This window comes from Homo sapiens, chromosome 4, assembly GCF_000001405.40.
Source record: "Homo sapiens chromosome 4, GRCh38.p14 Primary Assembly".
In the NCBI taxonomy this organism is placed as follows: Eukaryota; Metazoa; Chordata; class Mammalia; order Primates; family Hominidae; genus Homo; species Homo sapiens.
The window spans coordinates 80,941,454-80,965,405 of NC_000004.12; the positions used below are offsets into that span (position 1 = coordinate 80,941,454).

A 23,952-nucleotide genomic window follows, 5' to 3' on the forward strand; every position below is an offset into this window, starting at 1 on the left:
TAAATGCTTGTTTAATTGAAAATTTCATAGATTTAAAGCAACATAGATGTCATAGGAAACCACTAAATAGAGATTTTTCTCAACTAGCTCAACTATTTGTCCTTACATTTCTCCAAAGTCCAAATATCTTTCACATACAGCTACAGCTGTATTTGTCTGTTCTCGCACTACTATAAAGAAACATCTGAGACTGGGTCATTTATTTAAAAAAACAAAACAAAACAAAACAAAAACAGGTTTAATTGGCTCATGGTTCTGCAAACTGTACAGGAAGCATGGCAGCACATGCTTTTGGGGAGGTCTTAGGGAGCTTTCACTCATGGTGGAAGGCAAAGTGAGAACAGGCACTTTACATGGTTGGAGCAGGAAGAAGAAAGAGACAAGGGAGGTGTACACACTTTTAAACAACCAGATCTCACAAGAGCTCAGTCACTATTGTGAGGACAGTACCAAGAAGGAAATGTGCCTCCATGATCTAATCACCTCCTGCCAGGCCCCACCTCCAACATTGGGGATTACAATTCAACATGAGATTTGGGAAGGGACACAGATCCAAACCATATCAATGGCTTTCAAATTTATCATCTTCATCCAGCTAGCTGGATGGGAAAAAGAACATGGATGGTTTTTGATGGGCCCACACTAGTAGTGGAAAATAGTTGTTCCATTGACTAAATTGCTATTACGCGGCTACACTGCAAGAGAGACCATGGTTGTAGTCTGGAGGTCTACCAAGAAAAATTTGAAAATTTGTATTTTGATCAGCAGTCATATATGCTACAGAGCTTCAGGTAGTGTAGTCACAACCAGTAGTACGTGGGACAAAGAGTACATGCGTTAGTCAGTGCAGGCTCTGGAGTCAGTCTTTAACGTTGGAATCCAAGTGGTCATTTTCCTGTCAGTTCTACATGAATACAATGGATATTTTATACCTACTCCATGGATTTGGTGATAAGATTAAGTGAGATAATAGATTCATTAGACTTATAACGGTACCTAGCACATGACCATTACTAGATAATTATTATTTATTTTTATTAAATACTAATAATAATCAGCTACTATAAAAAGCCTATTTTCCATCTCTGCTTAGGAGAACAAAAGTATTGATGAAACAACCAAAATGTCTTCATCAAAAGAATCATGTTCTATACAAATATACTTTTTTTATGTAGAAAACATTTATATAAAAATCTTCCTGGACTTCAATAAGACTTTTAATTTGGGGTCTGAGCAACAAGATAGGAATGTGTAATATAAACCATGCCACTCTAAGCACATCTCTGACTCAAGTATTTTGGTAGAATTATCTATATCTATATATCTCATAAATAATTATTGAAGGAGAATATATGTACAGTTGAAAATCACACCCATATTCCCCACTCCAATTTGGCAATATCCTAACTGAAAAGTCAGTAATATGGATATCAAAGTATATTTTTTATTATGAATTAAACTGAATTAGAAAATCCAGCTTGCGTAGATAGTCAAATTGGCTTCTAATGCCTTCACCATTGAATTGACTGCCAATGCTACAGAATCATCTGCTGCAATCACTCCACTGGGGGGCTGAGCCTGTCATCTTAAACTTCACTTGTGAAGGCTTATTAAGTTGAGGGCCTAAAAGGCCATGAATGCACAATTCTCAATTCACTAATCACATAGTCATTCCTGTTTTCTTAGGGAGAATTGACTAAACAGACAAAGATATTTGGAAAATTCCTTTTTCTTACTCTGTGCCTCAGTAGGGCAGACATTCTATGTCCTGGCCATAGAAAAGGTAGTAGGGAAAGAAAATTGTTCTCACTGATACGCCCCCCTCCCAGTGACATAAATATATGATCTATACAATCAATCATTTCTAAATATTGAAAAATTTGAGAGTAAACATTGCACTTTTAGGTAATAATATGAAAGTGGTAATAATGATGCCTCAGAAAACAATATAATTCAGTAAGTTTAAACAATGAAACTTTCTATTTTCAAAAAAGAAAGGGAGTAATAGAGGGCAAAACGACCTAGAAACAGGATCAGAAGAATATCATTAAAAATAAATATTACAAACATTTGAGAGGCACCCTGGTTTGTGTTATTTCTGTGACCATCATTTTAAAAGCAAATATAGTATTAGAAATGCATTAGTAGGAATAAGATACATAAAAATAAGTAGATTTTTATTTTATATTTTATAAGATATGTAAAAATAAGTGTAAATATATTGAGGATTCTTTCAATTCATATGACAGTATTGCATTCATTTCTGACAAGTAAGTACAAAACAGAATGTAGAAAAAATAGGAAGTTTCTGTACAAAATATAAAAATAAAATGGGCTGGGCATAGTGGCTCACGCCTGTAATCCCAACACTTTGGGAGGCCAAGGTGGGCAGATCACGAGGTCAAAAGATCGAGACCATCCTGGCCAACATGGTGAAACCCATCTCTGCTAAAAATACAAAAATTAGCTGAGCGTGGTGGCGCACACCTGTAGTCCCAGCTACTTGGGAGGCTGAGGCAGGAGAATTGCTTGAACCCAGGAGGCGGAGGTTGCAGTGAGCTGAGATCACGCCACTGCACTCCAGCCTGGAGACAGAGCAAGACTCCATCTCAATAAATAAATAAATAAATAAATAAATAAATAAATAAATAAATAATACTTGAAGGCAATATTGAAAAATAGAAAGTGGCATATGTATGCTTTGAAACATACAAATTTGGATTGAAATATTAGCCCTGTGGCATATTAGTTTCAAGACTTTAATGATGCTAGTTGACCTCCCCGAGTCGTTTTGCTTTGTCCATAAAATGAGAGCAACTTCATATGGGGGTTGTGATAGCATAGATCACATCACGTTTGGCTCACGGTAACCACTCAAACATAAATAGTTTCCTCACTCCCTGAGAAACATATTATTGAGGAAAAAAAGCGGAGCCTGAAAGAAGTGAATTTATTTGGAATTGTTTTGAATGAAAAGAGGTGATTTAGTGAGCCCTCCCTTCCAGTAAACAGTCTCTTAATACCCTGAAGAACCTGAACTAGAACAAATAGCCTTAAATTGCATCAATTTTCATCTTGACTTCCTGGGAATGTAATAGTACTGTAATAGGCCCTAGGTCTTAGAAGTGTCCAGAAAATCATGCAAAAGCATCATAAATATGTGTCTAAATGATTTGGGAATAACCCAATCTAATCTCTTGTGCAAGAATTTTAATCTCAAATGTGTTCTACATGGTTGTATGGCATGTTTGTATCCACTTATCTTATGACTGAACTTCCCCAAATAGTTCTTAAACTATATTTGTCAATTTAATGCATTATACATCTTAATTCCTAATAAATGTTTATTTTTATAGCTTTTACAACTGGGACGCTGATATTGCTGTTAGTAATTCAAGTCCCAACTATCAAGTGATTGCCGATAATCCAGAAGGCTTACTTTTCAGATACAAAAGAGACAGAAAAATTCTTAATGTGGACCCAAAGGTAATTCTTCTTTTACACTTAGTTAGTTACCTCTTCACATGTTATTGTATTTCTGCCACTATTCAAAAAATCTGTTAAATATTTGACACTCTTAAGTTGTTAAATTTAGAAAGGAAATAACATTTTGAAACTTAGAGCATGTACTACCTTTTAAAAAACACTGCATAGCTTCATAAATTATTAGAAATTAATAAGAAAGAGTTTAGGGGGAATTTAAACAGAACTCACAAGTGGAAACACTTCTCCATGCCTAGCACAGAATTGCACCAGGGAGCCAGTAGGCCACGCATGTGCTTCCCCCGATCCTGCAGATGTCCAGCCACTTGTTGCTGTTAGTGGGGAGGAGCGTCATTCAGAGAAGGGAGATTCTGAACTTACATTTGTACCCAGAATTCTAATACCCCTCTGTGTATGTGACTAACACTAAAAATGGTTTGGCTCTTAATGTATTTCTAAGTGTTAATTTGGAAAACACTTTTATTTAAATATTTTAAAGACATGTCTCATGATATTTTGAATTTGTTCAAAGAAAAATATTTACATCTTGCATATTTTCAAAGACTGCATTTGAATCATGACTTTTTATTATGATTTGTCCTATGTCTCGGGATGAAAGTTAAAACTTTGCTTGAAGTCATTATGTGTTTGACTTGTATCGGTGGGTTTCATTTTGTTATTGTTTTTAAATTTTGAAAACTATTATTCACATGAAAGTGTCAGTCTAAAATCCAAAAGCAAGAAAAAGATTCTTTCATAGTAAAATAAATAAAAATTGTTTGATACACATGGAATATGGACAAGGATGGGCCAAAGGAAAGGGGGGTCAGGTTATAAAAACTTTTCCAAAAGTTTTTAGAAAACCAAAGTCAAAAATCCAGTCTGTATTTCATATCCACTTAGTACAGTTCCTTGCACATAAAAAATGCTAAATAGGCCAGGCGCGGTGGCTCACACCTGTAATCCCAGCACTTTGGGAGGCAGAGGCGGGCAGATCACCTGAGGTCAGGAGTTTGAGACCAGCCTGGCAAACATGGAGAAACCCCATCTGTACTAAAAATACAAAATTATCCAGGCATGGTGTCGCATGCCTGTAATCCCAGCTATTCAGCAGGCTGAGGCAGGAGAATGGCTTGAACCTGAGAGGCAGAACTCCGTCTCAAAAAAAAAAAAAAATGCTAAATAACCATGTCTTTAAAGAATTAATGACCATAATTCTGTAACAAGAAATAGATGATTACCTGAAATGAGATACAGCTACAAATATCAGAAATGCCAAGATAGTAATTTAAACAGGATAGAAGCTGCTTTCTCTTCCACATGTAAGTGTAGATGGTGACAGTCCAAGGTTTAAATGACAGCTCCACAGTCATCTGGGCCAGGGTGATCCTCATTTTCTTGGGCCAAAATAGGTCTCCAGCCAAAATAACCACATTCAAAACATAATGCCTGGATGGGGTTGAGAGGGTACAAAGAACATTCCCCTGATGCCTTTAAAGGGAGTTTCCAAAAAGCTACTGCACAAACCATCACTTATGTTCCATTGTAAGAAGTTAGTCTTATGGAGGTGATTAGCTACATGCAAAGCTGGGAAATATAATCTTTATTCAAATGACAATGCACCCAGCTAAAAACAGGTATTCTGAGACAGGGAGAAGAGAGGTTTAAGTAGACAACTGGCAGGTTCTAACACAATGCTATCTCCTTCAAAATAACAATACTCTTTTTTGGTCTCAGGTTTCTCATTAGTGAAATGAAGTACTGGATCAGAGAGTTTTTAGGGCTGTATTTATTATGAATCTATGAATACCAGAGTACTTTATCAACATACCTTCTCTCTAGTGGTTCTTCTTTACTTATGGGTGTCAAAATGAGATCAGTAGGGGCAAAGTACAGAAAACTTAATAAATAGCATTTCCAGAGTCATTTCCTTAGAAGTCTAAACTATATAAATAAGAAAAGATTTTAAATTATGAATGCTCTTGTTAAGATGTGTGAAACAAATATTTGAATCAATTTTGAATGACATCATATTTAAACTATTTTAGGGCTGTATTTTAACTAATGGCATATTTCAAGAATGCATGTCATGAATTGTAGTTTTTACAGTCTTTGGGGAATCATTATTGAATGTGAACTGTTGCTTAAACATCGTTCAAATAATTTTAACTCAAACTCAAACTTCCAAAATAGTCAACCATGAGATTTCAGTATGACATATAACATTTGTCTCCTTTTTTCTGAAAGATTTTGATTAGATTTTATGATAAATTTGAAGAAATTTTTTTCCAACTCTTGAATAAAGAGCAAGCATTTGGTTAATGAGTGGTAAGAGTAAGAATTATTAGGCGAGACATACAACAACATTTGGATACGTATATTTCTTTAAATTTTAATTTTATCTTGTGGAAAGTAAAAATTAATAGTAGACTTATGAAAAGAAATGTTGGTCTCAGCATTAGTAAACAGAGTCCTAGGCTTTACTATTAATTGGCTGCATGACCTTGATAAATTCACTCAACTTCCCTGGGTTTTAGTGGTCACAACTAGAAGATAGAGAGTTGTTGTAGTTGTTGTGTTGTTGTTTGTTTTGTTTCTTTCTGATCTCTAGAGTTCCTTTAAAGTACCAGGCCCAGTTTTTAGAGATTCTGCCTCGACTGGGACCAGAAGTACATATTTTAATAAGAAGCCTGTGTGATTCTGCTACAGGTTGTTCATGAACTGCAGTTTGAGAAAAAATCTCCATAAAAAGTCAATAGTCTAAAAACATCAGGCATTCTGTTCTCAAAAAATAAGTAGAAAGACACTTATATATTTTAATTATTGTGGACAAGATGTATTGTACATTGCTACAAAATTTCTTAACTTATTCTTTCTTCAAAGATCCAAGATCTTTTTTATTTCATGCATCCAACATAAAATTTCTTATAGACCTAAGGAAGAACCAAGAAATAAGCAAAATAAATATCTGCAGTTACTTTAATAACTACTAATACATATTGATAGAAATTACATTTTTATAGTCAATATTTTTCTTAGCAATTTTTATTGAAATCCTTCCTAAGGTGAACATCTCATAACTCCAGTAGTTAAAGAGCTGTAAAATATTGTAAGAGCAACTCAGCTCTCCTTTTCTTCTCCTTCATGTACCCTCTTTGAAATACTTTATGCTTAAAATTAAAGAGGTCAAGATAAATGAAAGGTGGAAACAGTGATAAACAGGATGTGTTTACTTTGTCCAACACAGATGTGGACTCATTAATTCTGAAGTATGTTTCCCGTGAAAGGCAGTTGTTTGGGAATGGTAACAGTGGAAACAGAAACTTGTGCAGGTCTTACAACAAGTAATATGAGTTCATTGGTTAGGAAATTCCAAATGCAATAAGAGTTTGGTTGCATTGAAAACAGGACCACTGGCTTTAACTTCCCTGCAGCTGTATAACATCTGGAACAAATAAGCCAAGTTTCTATTTTTGAGTGAAGAATGCTTGTTTGAGTGATTCACACCCACCAAAATGTTTCCAGTGTATTATCTTTAGAAGAATTAAATGGAAGCACTTTGCACTCTGTCCAATATATTATTTGGACAAATTTTTTAAATACACTTTTTTTTTACTTTTCAAAAACACTAACCATGGGATAGTTTGCTTTGAGTCTTACCATAGCATAAGTGGTCTAAAACTGGCATGAACCACTAATAAGGCAAGAAAGAGAGAGAGAGAGATTGTATACAATAGTTACAACAAAATATATATATATTTCTTAGTTACACCAGCTATTCTCACTTCCCATTTCTGAGAGGCCATCACCTGGAAAAATGCCTTGCTAATGAATATTTGATAAATATTCATTGAATTGATGATTGAATGGATCATTCCCTCCAAAAGCAATAATAACAATAATAATAATAGTAATAGTGCTACACTAATTAAAAGTTAATGAGTAAATTATGTTAGTCATTTGATATAGCAGTGATAGCAGAAATGGGTATAGTCATTTTCCCTATATTAACCCAAATAAGTCACAAAAAATGCAAGAATTTATTGCTGAAATCAGATTTTGTAGGAACTATGCAGAAATCTTTATTTTGGTCTATGCTTTCATACCTTCTTGTGCAGTCCCAGAAATATATAATTTAAACTATCTCAAATTAAGATTATTGAATTAGAACATGATTTTGATTTATGAACAGACTTCAACAGATTAAATGACTCACTGACAGTCAACAGTTAATTATTAGTAGAAACCATCAATGAAGCTTAAATATTATGAGTCACATGGGGAGGTGAAGATGAGCAAGACTTCAATCTTTGCCCTTTAAGTGCTCTTAGTGTTTTTAGGGAAATAAGTCAAAACATAACTGCAGTATAATGCAGAAAATGATACATTGCACAGGAGAGAAATACTTTTGGAATTCAGTGAAAGAAGAGATGATTTTTGATCTGGGGACAGGAGCTAGTGGAAAGGAATGGTGAAGGGAGAGCATTGGAGATAATGTTAAGTGATAATGGAGGAAGTAAACTTTTAGTGGGGACTTAAAGGATGATTAGAAATTGAACTAGATGCTCCCTAAAACTTAAAGTATAATAAAATTTAAAAACAACAACAACAAAAAAAAAAAGAAGCAGGATCATAAAAAAAAAACAAAAAACAGAAATTGAACTAGAGAGGGGGAGAATCGAACACATAAGGAGGGAAAGGGAGTCAATATCAGGAATTAAACCTATTACCCAAGATAAGATTCACAAGTATAAAACAGACAAGGGAAAACCCAAATAGTTCAATTTGGCTTCTGCGTTGGATTGAAGGGGTGAATTGGGAATTAAGCCTGGAGAGGTCATCAGAAGCTTTGACTGCAGGACTGAGGCAGATCTTGGACTGGACTCAATAGGAAATGGGGAAATATGCCAAGCATCTTGTGCAGAGAAATAACAGGATGAAAGTTGGGCTTTAATGTTAGAAGGTGTAGAGCAGTACAGACGAGGGAGGAAAAGCTGGAGAAGACAAGCAGAATAACAGTAACCCAGGTGAAAAGTAAAAAGGACTGGAAGTAGAGGTCCTGCTATAGTTGGCAAATTTTGAGTTGATGCTTTCAATATTGCAACTACCAGATCATTCAGGTACAGATAGAACTTATATTATGTATATCTATCTAGAAAAGTTTTTGAGAGAGCTCACTTTCCCCCAGTACTCAGAAAAGAAAGAGAGGGAGAAAGAACATGTGTGTGTGAGAGAGGAGAGAGACAGTATTGCTGGATGAGTACAGGGCACACAAGTGAGCTGGATGGATGTCTGCCACTCTTTATTCTTCCCTCCACCCCCCCCCTTTCTCATTTGATGTTTCCTTGGCAACTGTTGAGAACTATGAAGCTTAAAGGTGAATCTGGAAGGTAGATTTCTTGTCCTAAAAAGCTTACAGGTTAACTGGTGAGTGGGTGGGAAAATATACACATAGAAATGGCAAGCTAGAAAGTAACCTGAGAGGACAGAAAAAGTTCTGTAAGAATTCAGGGGAGGCAGAATGTACTTTGGACCAAAGATATTCAAAAACAAGTTAATGAAAGAGATAGCATTTGAACTGGGTCTGGAAGGGTGGGTATGGTGAGGACATGAGGACTGGAGAGGAAGGGTGTTCTGATAGGAAGAAAAACCATGCACAAAGGCATGGGAGCACGAAGGCATGGGAGCACAAAACATGAGGCTGTGAAGGAAGGCAGAGGACCTCCTTGTGGCTACAGAGAGGCTGTCAGCACAGATCAGATATCAGAATCACCCAGGAAGCTTTAGAATATATGATGCCTGACCTCATCCCAAGAAGGCTGGATAACTGATCTGAGTGGAAGGCTTAGGCATTGGTACTTTTCAAAAATACCCTGGGTGATTCTAGTGGTTCACAAGGGTTGAGACAAAGGTGTAGGAAGGAGAATCATGGCAGAAAAGTCTTGAGAGAATAACTAAACACCACAAGTGGAAGCCAAATCTAATTAGTGTTTGCCATTCTATAGACCTCAAGGAGATTCAGTACTATTTGTGTCACAATGACTTAGAATCAAAATTTCTAAGTATGAAAATACATAATCCATTTTGAAAGGAGGTGATGTGACTCTTCTGTTGGCTAAACTTCATTGGTGTGATTTTAGAATTCAAAAGAAAATCAATTATATTAAAAATATGAAAATTTATAGGGCAAGATCTCTTTTTGTTATCTTATTTACTGTCTAGTAGAGTACATCTTGAATATAGTTGCTTGGTAAGTCACTGATAACAAGCAAACTAAAAGACATGTGAAAAGATCTCAGAGACCCATAGTTTCTATTGGATGTAGGACATTAGTGAAACAAAAAACAGTATTATAGAATAAAACTTTCTGGATCCATGCTGAGTGTCACAAGGTTTGGAAGGCATGTGCAATGTAGACTGTGCATGGACTTAGCAGGATTTATTTCTTTGTTCTTTTTGTATCAATACTCCTGACTATTAAGCCCAGACTCCTCTATTTGAAAATTGTTCACAATTGTTCAAACATAACAGTGAGCTACTTTGGCATGTAGTCTATTATCACAAGAGCTCTTTATTAGTACCCAGCCTGCCCTGGCTTGATTAGGAGCAATTCCTATTAATTCAGGAAAGCATTTCCTCTTCCTCTCTCTTTCTCAAATTCACCAATCAGAGAACTCAAGGCTCTTCCCTTAGATATCAGACTGAATCCATCTATGGTGAGTCCCAGCAAATTCTATTTTTAAAGCCTCTTCAGGTAACCCTAAAGATTAGCTGGATTTTATATCCACTGCTTTACACAGTACTATTGTCTTAGCTGTTGTTTCACCTTAATGTATATGCATAAAGCTATCAAACTTCATTCATTTAAAATATGTTGTAATGCAACAGTGTTAACTTTAAGTCATTGAAATTACACGTTCCCAGGACTGCACAGACTAGAAAGCACAGACCATATACCAAAGAGTGCTGTGTAATGAGATACAACTGCACTAAATGCTTCTGCTAATAAATCACCATCACTGCTATTTTTTCTTCTTATTTGGATCATTATGGGGGCCAGAGAGTGGGCGAGGGGTTGGGAGGTTTTACGCATTCTTTGCTATTACTGCCTCATGGAACTTCATTTTGTGAAGTGAGTTTGCCTAGAGGCTCAAATGAAACAATACACATGACAGAAACTTGTAAAGCATAAACTGTTAAATGTAGGGCAGGAACCCTTTCTGGACATTTTGCCGTTGTATTACCAGGGCTAGCTCCATGCCTGCACATGGTAGGTGTTCAGTAAACATCTGCGGGATGAATAAATTGAAATATTAAATATTTGCTAAAGAAATGAATGGTAGGGCCAAAAATAATTCTTAAAAAAAATTGAGGTTAACTTAAAATATTTTAGGGTCTTAGGCACTGAAAACATATGTAGAGCTAAAGCTATTTTTAGCTAAAAACTACCAGAGTAATTGACTCTAGTGCTTTTCTGCCTAGGTAGGTGGATAAATGAATTATCACTCAGGGTTCTTTGAGGAACTTTCGAGAGTAAATGGTGATTTTTTCCAGGGTAACGGCAATGTGTTAGGTGCATGGGTAAATGAGAGTAGCAATTACTTTATTATTTTTAAAAATAAATGCGTAGTCACTGTTGTCTATTATTGTACAGGTGCTAAAAACAAATATGTCAAATTCTTTCTTTTTCTCTGAGCAAAAGACTAGACACATAAGGTTTAAAATTAAAAATAAATTCAACTAATAAAATCACCCGTTTTTGTTTTTGCATTTTTTTTTTAATTTAGAGGAAGAGTCCAGCAACATCTTCTCAGAGCTCCTCTCTCCTCTGTTCTGCCCTCTCAGGCAACCCCCACGCAAGCACTTGCTACTATTAGTAGGAAAGGTGTTCATTACCTGTTTAATGCCACCTCTGCTTCTGAGGTCGTTGGCTTCTCTTCATTTCCCTTGCCTCCCAGATCCTAAAATCCTAACCTGTCATAGCCTTGAAATTGATCTTCTCAAAACGGAGACCCATAACATTTCTACGTCCTATATGCAGATGGTTCCAATTTAATCTCTTGGAACCTCGCCCTTCAGTGAAGGTCCTCAGTTTTAAAATCTGCCTTTTAACAGGAGGAGCTATATATAATCCCTTTTGAAAAACAAACAAACAAAAAGCTGAATAGAATAAGTTTTAAACAAGGTTATGGCTTCCGCAACGTCTCAGAAATGTTTCTGCAAACTGCACTACAAGACTAAATTAATATTGGGCCAGTGGGGCAGGGGATATCTACTGAATCACCAACACCACTTTTTTGGCCCCTGTATTTTCCTTGGAGGCCTCTTATAAATGTTGCTTTTTAACTGTGGCACAGTCACAGTTATTAAGTAAAGCTGAGGCCTTGCCAACTTTCTCGTTTTGCTACCCAAATTACTGAATGTTTGGTTGATTATAGCCCTAAAACACCCACATACTAAGTAGCTTTTAAACATTTTCTCCTCTGGGTAATCACCTGGTATATCTGAACTGAAAGCCCACCACATATAAATTAAGTATTTACTCAACTAACTACTGCTAAAATCAATGGCCTTGAGGAATACATTAAAATTATATAACAGAGCTTGGCTTTTATGAATTAAAACTCCTAAAACTTAAATGTCATGTCCTCCACTTGACCTGAAAAACTGACTTTAATTTTATATGCAGTATTTAAGGAACAACCCCCAGAGATAAGCACATTGTTCATAAGTGTCCAGTGCATGAACTCATATATGAACTGTAACACAAGAAATGTAAGCTACACGAAAGAAAAAAATACATATATATTTTTTGAATTTTGAATTATGTATATACATAAATATATATGTCAATGTTTAGTAATAAGAGAGTATAAATGATAAGCCTCCATCATCTGAGCTGAACATATGCAATGAAAAGAAAGGTACATATCCCAATAAAGCATACATGACAAAGAAAAATTATTGTTTTAAGCTTTTATTTCCAAGAGCAACCTAATCAAACATGATGCCAAAAGTAAAAGGGACCCATATGGCCTAGGGATATAAGGATGGAGAGATTTGAGGAAGAGAGCTTTAGACACAGTTCACGCTCACTTTCTCACAAAATGTATTACCTCAAATCAAGAAGTATGGAAGAGAGTAGAAGTTAATTTCCTGGCAAGATGGAATGATTGAATAAGAACAAAATAATTGTTTCCTCTATGATCTTAAAAACCTGATAACTAATAACACAGAAGCAGGCATCAGAAAACACATGAGTCAGGCATGGTGTCATTGCAGGTGCAAGACCACAGTTGAGGGATTATTTCTAGTTCAAAAAAAGAGCATGTTTTTTTCCTGGGTCTCAACAGTTGAACAAGTAGTTAATTCCCATGACTCTTTCTCAGCCATTCACCACTCCCAGCAAATACTCATAATTTCTCAAAAATTGAAATCCCAAAGCAGAGTGAGAGTTGAATTTTATTAGAATATGGAATACAATAGCATGAATAGTGACCAAGACCATTAGTAAGAAAGAAAAATCTCATGTTGATAACTTATAAGTGGCTATTGCTGGCTGAGATATCTTTGGCATGTACATTGGTGGCCCTGAACATATATACATTTTCTCAAATAGCTGAAGCAAGAGTGGAAAAGAAAAACACAGTTAAATGAACAAAAATGTCAGCCCCAACTTGGCAGGTCAGAAAACTACCTCATAAGTATATGAGGTTGCTCCAAGGGGATAGGTTCTTAATATGCGGGGGGGACAACTTATTTTTAAAATCTGTTAAGTTTTGGCTGGGCATGGTGGCTCATGCCTGTAATCCCAGCAGTTTAGGAGGCGGAGGTGGGCGGACCACGAGGTCAGGTGATCGAGACCATCCTGGCTAACAAGGGGAAACGCTGTCTCTACTAAAAAATACAAAAAATTAGCCAGGCATGGTGGCAGGCACCTGCAGTCCCAGCTACTTGGGAGGCTGAGGCAGGAGAATGGCGTGAACCCAGGAGACGGAGCTTGCAGTGAGCCAAGATTGCGCCACTGCACTCCAGCCTGGGTGACAGAGCAAGACTCCATCAAAAAAAAAAAAAAAAAAAAAAAAAAAAAAAAAAAAACGCACACATGGCCATATACAGAGTAGTATAATTGTATTTTAGGTTATTCAAAGACCTGCTTGAGTACCTTAATAAATCCCACTTGAGAATTCTCCAAGACCTGAGGATTCTCTAAAATACTTTGGAGCAGTTGAAAGCAGCTAGAACTGCAGAACAAGTTGGAAGGGAATGAGAAATGGTCATCAGGGCTCAGGCAGGGCAAAGCTCTTAAGAGGAGCAATGCTTAGAATGAGTTGAAGGTACAGAGATCTTTTCAGCTTTGTGATTAGGGAAAATTACTTCACCCTTTTGAGCACTTCACCTCTGTCTTCTCATCTGTAAAAATCTAAAAATGTATAGCCATTTACAAAGAGTTGTTGTGAAGATGAAATGAGAGAATATGTTTAAAATGCCTGCCACAGAGTAGGTGCTCAATGAATGAAAATTGCTTCCTAGTAGTGTATTACCTTAGAAACCATGAAAACTCTAAAAGAATAATCATTTTGCATTGCGAGAGTTAAAAACTGGAAACAATCTGCATGTTCATGACCAGGCAATGGTTAAATAAATTATGATACATGCATACAAAGAAATAGTATGTGGCAGTTTAAAAAGTTAAAGCTGTATTTACTGATGTTGATGGATTAGTGCAGATGTTCAAGATACACTATTAAGTGAAAAAAGCAAATTGAAAATAATGTAGCTAGGCCAGGCGCGGTGGCTCATGCCTGTAATCTCAGCACTTTGGGAGGCTGAGGCAGGCAGATCACCTGATGTCAAGAGTTAGAGACCAGCCTGGCCATGAAACCCCATCTCTACTAAAGAAAAATACAAAAATTAGCTGGGCATGGTGGCATGCACCTATAATCCCAGATACTCAGGAGGCTGAGGCAGAAAAATCACTTGAACCTGGGAGGCAGAGATTGCAGTGAGCTGAGATAGATTGTGCCACTACACTCCAGCCTGGGGGAAAGAATGAGACTTCATCTCAAAAAAAGAATGTACATAATATTCTATCCTTTGAATTACTCATAATTGATATGAGAATTTCCCACTTGTGGAAATTTAGTTTGGTTTCTGCTTTCCCTCCGGTTTAATTAACAACTCTCTACAAACAAGCTTCTGATTTTACCCCCACTTAGGACAGATTTCTAAAATGGAACCTGCTTAGTCAAAATATATGTATTTTGTAAAGCTTTAGATAGATATTGTCAAATTGCTTTGCAGTTAGACCATGTCAATTTACAATTATATCTGAGCTGTTTAAAATTTCCCATTTCCCATGCCCTATTTATTTTGCATACTTTTTTAACTGTTAATTTCACAGTCCAGATCTGTTTGGAGTCATTTTATTTGCTCCAGTCATTTTTTATTACTATTGGAAATGAAAATTTATTTTATATGCATGCTACTATATAATATTCTTATTTATATATTTATTTTAGAGACAGTGTCTTGCTCTGTGTGGAGTCCAGTGGCACAATCATAAACTCACTGTAGCCTAGAAGTCCTGGGCTCATATGATCCCACTTCCACCCCGGCACATTTCCCCTCTCTAGCCTCTGGCGTAGCTGGGACCACAAGCACTAATCACCATGCCTAAGATTTTCTTTTTTTTTTTTTATAGTGACAGTATGTTGCCTGGGCTGGTCTCCAACTCCTGGCCTCAAGCGATCCTCCTGCCTTGGCCACCCAAATTAATGGGATTATAGGCTTGAGCCACCATGCCCAATCTCCTTTTCTCTACAATTGTTATTGCTGTCTACCTACTTTCCTGTAGGTTTTTAATGGGAATTTTAAAATAAATTTTTAAAGTATTCTATGTGTAGAGGGTAGAAAACTTTTGGCTATCATATTTTTAGTGATATACCAAAATTTATATTCTTTTAAAGTTTACAGTTGTTTTGTCATGCAAAATTTTTAAATTTTTCTATGATCCTAACTACTGATTTCTCTTTCTGATAGCTTTCATTGCTTCTATATTTAAAAAGATTCCTATACTAGAATCAGGAAAATAGTTACATATATTTTCTTCTAAATTTGTTTATCGTTCTTTTCATACATTTAAATCTGTAATTCTTCTGGGATTTGGTAGAATAAGGTTAGAATCTTCTTGTTTTGTTTCATCAGTTATTATTTTTCAGTAACTTTTTACTGTTGGACTTATTTCAGTATCTTGTTTTACCCATATTTTATACTTGGCTTGGAGTCCCATCTCTCCTGGGACCCAGTAATGGGTTTCAGGCAGTAATCTTTTCACAGCTCCTTACAGTGCCATGAATTTGAAGGAAGAGCTTTCTAAGTGCTGAATTTTCTCAGCCAGTTACATCGTTTGCTGTTGCTGTTGTGTATGTGTAACGGTTTTTAGCACTCTTTTTATACATTATTAAGAAACAATTTTTAAAAGAAGATAGAATCATCATTCTCACACAGATATAGAGTGAATATATGGCAAAGATTTTTAACTCATTAATTAATGAGGGACCAGTAAGGTATTACAACTGATTCCAGAGAATTCAAAGAGCAGAGACATAAAAAAGGAATAAACAGATTTTAAAATAAATTTGCAAATAAATAAAAAGCATCAATGCAAAAATGCATTGTATTCCACTGAACACAACTATTTTGCATTACTACAGACAAGAATTATTTGAATTATTATCAAATTTCTAAAAGTTGCAGAATTGTAATATAGATCATAAGTGAGAAAACCTAAATGAGTGAGTAATCAAGATACCCACTGTTTGATTTTTTGCCCATTTCAAAGTTTTTCACAAGTTTCCCTGGCAGTCTGTCTCCTTTCCTCTTTTTATCATAATAATTTCGGGAAGGTTATTCTTGATCATAAAATGCAGCTAGTCTTATTAGGTTTGCCTTACTGTTTATATAGGTATCTCAAAAGTGTTATTTTACCATATAGGTCACCTTAAGTTTGCATTGTAAATTCTAAGGCTATACAATTTTGAACAAATACTAAATTAAATTCTGTCTGGAAGTATTCATAAGGAATCTCAAATTGGACTTTTAAGGCCCTCTATTATTTGTCGTCCTGCTGCTAGAAAACTAAATCCAAGAAACTCTGTCCGTAAGATTTCACCTGTAAAACCTGTAACTTTGGGTAAATTATTCTCTTCTAAAAGTCCCCAAATACCTTAAGATAACTTATACATAGTATACAATATTCTTGACTATTAAAGCCAAGGAGTAGACCAGATTGTACAGAAGGTCTTTGTAAATACTACCTCCATAAGTCAAGTCGAACTTAATTCCTTAAAAGTAGCTGTTTCTGTGTGATTCAATGAACATTGTTTTCAAACATGACATTACGGGGAAGGCTTTGGTTTTATAATTTGTACAATTACATCCTGGTAAAAAGGATGACAACTTCTTACTGAACTGATGCAGATCACTAAATGGCCATGGAAAGTAAAAAGACTCAATAAGAATTTCTGAGTCCTAGAGAAATAAATAAGATCACATGTCATTTTCAAATGTTTCCTTCCATTTTATAAAGTAGATTCTACTAAATTTCTATGGGTTACAGATTTCTTAAGAAGAAGGAGAAAGGGTGTTCTTATTTATCTGAAAAATGAAACGTTAAGACAATATCAACAATATCCCAAATGAATAACCATAAGAAAATTATCTCATTACTGCATTCAGTCTTATTACAATTTTAATTCCTACTCTGCTGAATCTTGTGCATCATATGCAGCCCTCTGCTTTGGCCTACAGTGGGTCCTGGAAATCCTGACTCAGTCCACTCATGGTGCAATCTGAAAGCTGTCTAACCAATGTCAGCTCAGCTTTGAGGTGTCAATACTTAAAGTACCTGGTAGTTATCTTCCATGAGGTTCTAAGACTGTTCTTTGTTGAAGACATAAATTCTGGATTATAACCTGGAAGAGAGACTTCAGAGAAGCAGCAGAGTAAAACAGTACTATCAATAAACTACAGGGACCTAAAATCACTGTTGTGGACTTATTACTAATAATTTTCAAATGTGAGCAGTCTGGTGAGAGTTTATAGTAAGAATAATGCAACAGACAAGGAAATTTAGTTCTTTTTGTGGTATGCAAAACAATGATAATAAAGCCACTGCAAAAGACAATTAGACAAACATCTCTAAGGATAGTGATTAAATCTATTTTCAAAGAAGTTTGTGAATGATATATCTGATTCAAAAAATGGATGAAAATAATTTTACAGAGGAAGAAGCCTTGAGATAGATATAAGACATAGATAACACTAAAACATAATTGCTAATACAAGAAACCAAGTAAAGAAATTTAGTAAGTGTACATAAGGCCTAAACATTTGTATTTTTTAAACAGTAGCTGAAATTATGACTGATAACATACTGTTGTTGTCTAATGTCATTAGGCAAAACACTGCTACAACTCTGATAAATATAGAAAAATCTGATGGAAATATTTCCAAGAATTACAATCATTATTTTCCTTTAAGTTAAAAACAAGTAAAGCAGAAAGGGCAATGAAAAAAAAATTTAGGAACTTCTCATAAAGCATATAAAATTTCTGAAATATTTTTGTTAATAACATTATGCCTATTCAATTTAAATAAGTAAGGCTGAGCATCTCTTCTGATTTGAAAATTCTTCCCAAGGAATTCCACAAATAAAACTAATTATTTTTAGCACCTCTTTGCAAAGGTAAAGGAATAACTCTTTGTGATATTTTTGAAGGGCCATCTGGGAAATCTCAGAGATAGTTTTAAGTGTAAAAGATATCCTGACTGTTTTATTAATTTTTCTATACTTAAGATCCAATTATGAATGGCAAAAATCAGAAAAAAATAATAGAGGACATTTGGACATTTGATTAAAATAAGATCAGGGTACCAGAGAAATAATAATGAGTTAACAATAAGTACATACTTAAAACAATAAAATATTAAAAAATAAACATATACATTAACATGGTTGTAAAGAACCTTAGCTCTTTATATGTGAGGAAACTGTTCTTTGAATTCTTTTCCTTAAATAATCAGGGATGTAACAAATTCAATATAAAGCACAGAAAATTATTTTTATAAGACAAAATTTTTGTTATCTATCTAGGCAGATTACATAGGAAGTTAAAAAAAAAAAAGCCTTTCATTTAGTAGGCAAATAGTAAGCTAAGAAAACAAGCCCATCAAGATTGGGCAAATTTTACTAAAATTGTAGCACATCTCATAGCTTCTTTTCAGACTCAGGTATTATGAATTAAGGCAGGTAAAATATATTTCCAAAATTTACTCTTCATTTTGCTTTTTCATGTCACTGCAATTTTCAGGGGATCCATGAGCACAAAACCATTTTTATATTAATCCTCAAATGTTATTTCTGTTAAAACGTCAATATGTTTGTCATTGCTATGATCAAATGAAGCAGTAACTATTTTTAAAGTTCTCAATTTCAACTTTCAATATGGAAAATATTAACAGTTATCAACTACATAAGTGAAAGATTTTAGGGTCCTTAGTAAGTCTCAAGATTGTACAGAGGTTCTGAGACTGGGAGAATCAAGGGAGGGAAGCCTGAAAACCACTACTCTATATATCCCCACTATTATATACTACTACAAAACCACTACAATAGGACAAAATTATTTTCTCTTTGAAACACAAAAGGACATAGACAGTGGTGTCAGTCTGTCCCTATTCTCACAGTGTAGTCTTAACTATTCATATTAAAAGGACTTTTACCAAAGCAACTTCTATTTCAAGAAGAAAACTAGGGGCTGATAATTAAGAATTGCCAATCTTCCACAAACATTTTAAAAGATGAGCAAAGTTTATGTTGCAACTTCCAATAGCCACACACATACCTTTTTAAAGAGACAAAATTAATACATTCATTAACAGGACTCAAAACAAACACATTCTATAGGATATAAGCAAAAGTATATAAACTGAAAATTACGCCTAATAATTAGGCATCAAATTTGTTGGTCTCCTATCTTAGTTAGAAATCATCTATATATCAAGCGAGTATTCATTGTATAATTCAACTTAATATCAGTCTAAGGTTATGTGTTGCCTAAGGATCTTGGGACCTATATTCAAGCTGACTTGTTAAAAGAAAAAAAAAACACAATTACTGTTGAAATAAAGTTGTCTGAATAATGATTCAATTTAGTTGAATATAAATTTATAGTTTTCATTATCTAAAATATTGTGTAGGCATATTGTTAGTTAGTAGACCTAAGTAAGTTCAAGAAAAACAAACCCAAGTAGAATAAAATGTTGTTTATATTAAACCTAACACTGATAAATCATAGAATATAGCTGCTTATTTTGAACCAAAATTATTACATTAGTCTTGTTTACCAAAGATTTACTGTGATTATGTGAACTTAAATTTTAAAAACATTTCTGAGTTTCTGTAAAAATAAGTTATTAAGTATAGCACAATTTAAAATACTATAGCTTTTAATTTCCTAATTTTTGGAATTTTATGATTATTTGATTTATATAAGAATGTATTTATATAAGAACTCTATAGGCCAATCAGAACAGAGATTCTTTAATTTAGGAGACATTTTAACCTAATTCATTACCCTCCAGAGAGAGGAAAATATTATGCACTCATCCAAAAAGAGATAAAGGTCTTTCTAAATTATAAGCATCTAGACACACAGACACAAGACTGCTTATAACTTCAGATCTAAGTATTAACCACATATCAAAAGTAAACACAGAAAAATCACCAGTTCATATATCAAAGCATTGTACTTTTTCCTGATGGGCGCAAGAGTCTTAATTTGAGCTCAAAATAGACAAATAACAACCAATAAAAATAAAATACTTTAAAAAAGATTATTGTCTGTCACACAAGGGGAATAAATCTCTCTAATCCATTAATCCATTTACAGAAATAACAATGGCTAGCCCACAATGTTCTGAATCACTGCTGTCACCAGTAGGAAATAATATATCAATTGTAAGAGTTCCAAAGACAAAAACAAAACACAAAAATAGCCAAAAAGGAAAATACAGAAAGAAACGGAAGATCTGCAAAGTTAAATTTCTATTGCTACTGGGGATTTACCTTTGGGAGTCTGGGCTTAAGCCCCCAGGGGTACAACTTTCTCCACCATGTAGGTTATTCATCTATAAGAGGAATCCACTGACTATTGGCTGAAGAACCTCCAAAATATTTACAAGATAATTTTTAAAGGGGTGTAAATAACTCTCATGCAGCTATAACATAAATTTTCAAAAGATTTCATTTAATTCATTAATTATAGAAGAAACCAGTAAGATGTTATAACCAGTTCAAAGGAGAATTCGAAGAGCAGAACATATCTGTATAGGGAATAAGGAAAATTGAAATAAAAATAGCTGCAAAATAGGTCTCTATACAGGGCAATGATTAATTGAATTCCACTGGGCACAATTATTTTGCATCTTTGTGGGCAAGATATTTTCCATTACTATCAGTTTTATACAACTTAAAGAGCATGGCACATGTATACATATGTAACTAACCTGCACATTGGGCACATGTACCCTAAAACTTAAAGTATAATAATAATAAAATAAAATTTAAAAAAAGAGTTGTAAAATAACACAAAAACAATAAAAAGCAAAACTAACTTAGATGGGGGCACAGTCAGGACACCCACTTTTTTGTTTAGCACAAGAAATTAAGTACCATATGGAAAAGGCAATACCAAAACTTCTCTTTATCCTCAATTCTAAATTTCTAATTATCTCTTCTTAGAAGAGAGAGCAAATAATATCATTCTTTTCTACATCAAATATACAAAAGGCCTAGTAACTAAAATTTTCTAATTGTACATACTGTGCAACTCTTTTAGAATCATTTTTTTTCTCCTCTGAGCATCAGCTTTACCTAAACTTCTTTCTTCTCCCTTATCAATACCACATTAGCAAATACTTATTTCCATAGAGGCTTTCTAGAAGCCTATCAGTATGGTAAACTATGCTAATTTTTTTTAAAAAAGATGAAATCCTTTTAAAAGGTTATAATTTGAAGGAAGAAAAAAAAAGCAGATCAAGTAGTTTTTAAAGTGATTAGAAAGATGCTTTATGTAAAACCCACCATGGACAGACACTTCCACTGATCTAAATCAATCCCAGACTTGAGACATTTTATTTGACAAACTTGAAATCAAGATAGGATTCTTTTTGAATTATTACCCTGAAGTCACATGTGTTTGTAAAGCCTTTCGCTAGGAATTCTGAAGTTAGTGACTCATGGGGTTCAGCAGAGTCTAGACAAGCATGATCCTGTGTCACTGCTTTGATCATGGGCATTTTCAATATCACAACCCAATCATAATTCCAAAGCTCCTAATTGGAATTATGTTCACTCCTGAGAAAAAGACTAGGGGGAAAACATGTATATATCTCCGTGGAAACAAACTTGCTAGTTTTTTTTTCTGCAATATAAAGCAAAAAAATAAAAAAAAAATTTTAAAAAAGGCCAAGTATTTTTATAGACTTGACTAACAATGTAATTTATGTATTTTAGGCGCAGCCAGGTGACAACTCTACTAGAATCACTATCCTGACAGAACTCTACGTACAAGCTGTCATTTTTGACCACATTTCCAGAAGGAAGACTTAAGTACCAACATGTTAATTTCCTAATAATTTGCTAAATTTAAATAAATTCCGTAGACAGAGCAAATTAGAATAATAAATGAGCCCTGTAGCTGGAAGGCAAATTAGAACAATAAAGTTAATAAAGAAGTTAGAAAGAAAACTGTAATATTGACTGTCTTTTTATTATACAGATAGCCTCTAAGCTGATTGCAACATTTCATGGGAGAGAATTTTGGTGCTACTTCAAAGATACAGAAATTGGTGACTATTATGTAGCTCAGAATTTAAAAAAAAAAAAAAAAAAGTTCCAGATCCCACTATTGCTAAATCGAATGGACCAAGCTTTTGCCATATGGCAGTGCTGGCTGCTAAAATCATTGAATATTGACTGTTAAGGGGTCCCAAATTGGCATACAAGGTTTTCGATAGTACTAAACAAGTAAGTAAAATCTGCAATATCCCATGAAATGATGTATAAAATGAATGAACGTGTTTAATATGCATATAAGCTTGGATAACATGAATCCTATAACAGCGAAGCTGAGGAAATGAAATCTAAAGGAAACTAGAAGATATTAGAAAAATCAAGACTTGATGATAGAAATAAGCACTTTTTCCTAATGTGCCCTGCAGGTGGCTTTTGTGCAGAAAAGATATTATTTGAAGGCCACTTTTATTAAAAATTAATATTTGGTTCTTCCTCTTCTTTTTCCCATTCAATTTAATTCCTTTATTTTTAGTGTTTCAAAATATTTTTTATTTTATATTTTAATTATTTTTGATGTATTTTTTAAAAATTATTATTATACTTTAAGTTCTAGGGTACATGTGCAAAACGTGCAGTTTTGTTTCATAGGTATAGGGGCCATGGTAGTTTGCTGCACCCATCAACCCATCATCTATATTAGGTATTTCTCCTAATGCTATCCCTCCTCTAGCCCCCCACCTCCCAACAGACCCTGATGTGTGATGTTCCCCTCCCTGTGTCAGTGTGTTCTCATTGTTCAGCTCCCACTTAATGAGTGAGAACATGCGGTATAGTTTGAAGTCAGGTATTGTGATGCCTCCAGCTTTGTTCTTTTTGCTTAGGATTGTCTTGGCTATGCGGGCTCTTTTTTGGTTCCATATGAAATTTAAAGTAGTTTTTTCCAATTCTGTGAAAAAAGTCTATAGGAGCTTGATGGGGATAGCATTGAATCTATAAATTGCTTTAGGCAGTATGGCCATTTTCATGATATTGATTCTTCCTATCCATGAACATGGAATGTTTTTCCATTTATTTGTGTCCTCTCTTATTTCCTTGAGCAGTGGTTTGTAGTTGTCTTTGAAGAGGTCCTTCACATCTCTTGTAAGTTGTATTCCTAGGTATTTTATTCTCTTCATAGCAATTGTGAATGGGAGTTCACTCATGATTTGGCTCTCTGTTATTGGTGTATAGCAATGCTTGTGATTTTTGCACATTGATTTTGTATCCCGAGACTTTGCTGAAGTTGTTTATCAGCTTAAGGAGATTTTGGGCTGAGACAATGGGATTTTCTAAATATACAATCATATCATCTGCAAACAGAAACAATTTGACTTCCTCTCTTTCTATTTGAATACCCTTTATTTCTTTCTCTTGCCTGATTGCCCTGGCCAGAACTTCCAATACTATGTTGAATAAGAGTGGTGAGAGAAGGCATCCTTGTCTTGTGCCAGTTTTCAAAGAGAATGCTTCCAGTTTTTGCCCATTCAGTATGATATTGGCGGTGGGTTTGTCATAAATAGCTCTTATTATTTTGAGATATGTTTAAACAACCTTGTACTGAGGGAATT

General features: G+C 34.6%; 1 protein-coding gene across 5 annotated transcripts in view; it reads left to right on the forward strand.

Moving 5' to 3' along the window:
- Positions 1–22,297, forward strand: part of CFAP299 (cilia and flagella associated protein 299) — a 642,486-nt gene extending 620,189 nt beyond the window's left edge. For all 5 annotated transcript variants that reach the window (XM_047449975.1, NM_001206997.2, NM_152770.3 and 2 more), the window contains 2 exons: positions 3,357–3,486; positions 22,064–22,297. In XM_047449975.1, coding sequence (XP_047305931.1) covers positions 3,357–3,486; positions 22,064–22,159 — 226 coding nt within the window. In that variant the 3' untranslated portion in view covers positions 22,160–22,297. The remainder of the gene's footprint in view (positions 1–3,356; positions 3,487–22,063) is intronic.
- The last annotated feature ends 1,655 nt before the right edge of the window (positions 22,298–23,952 follow it).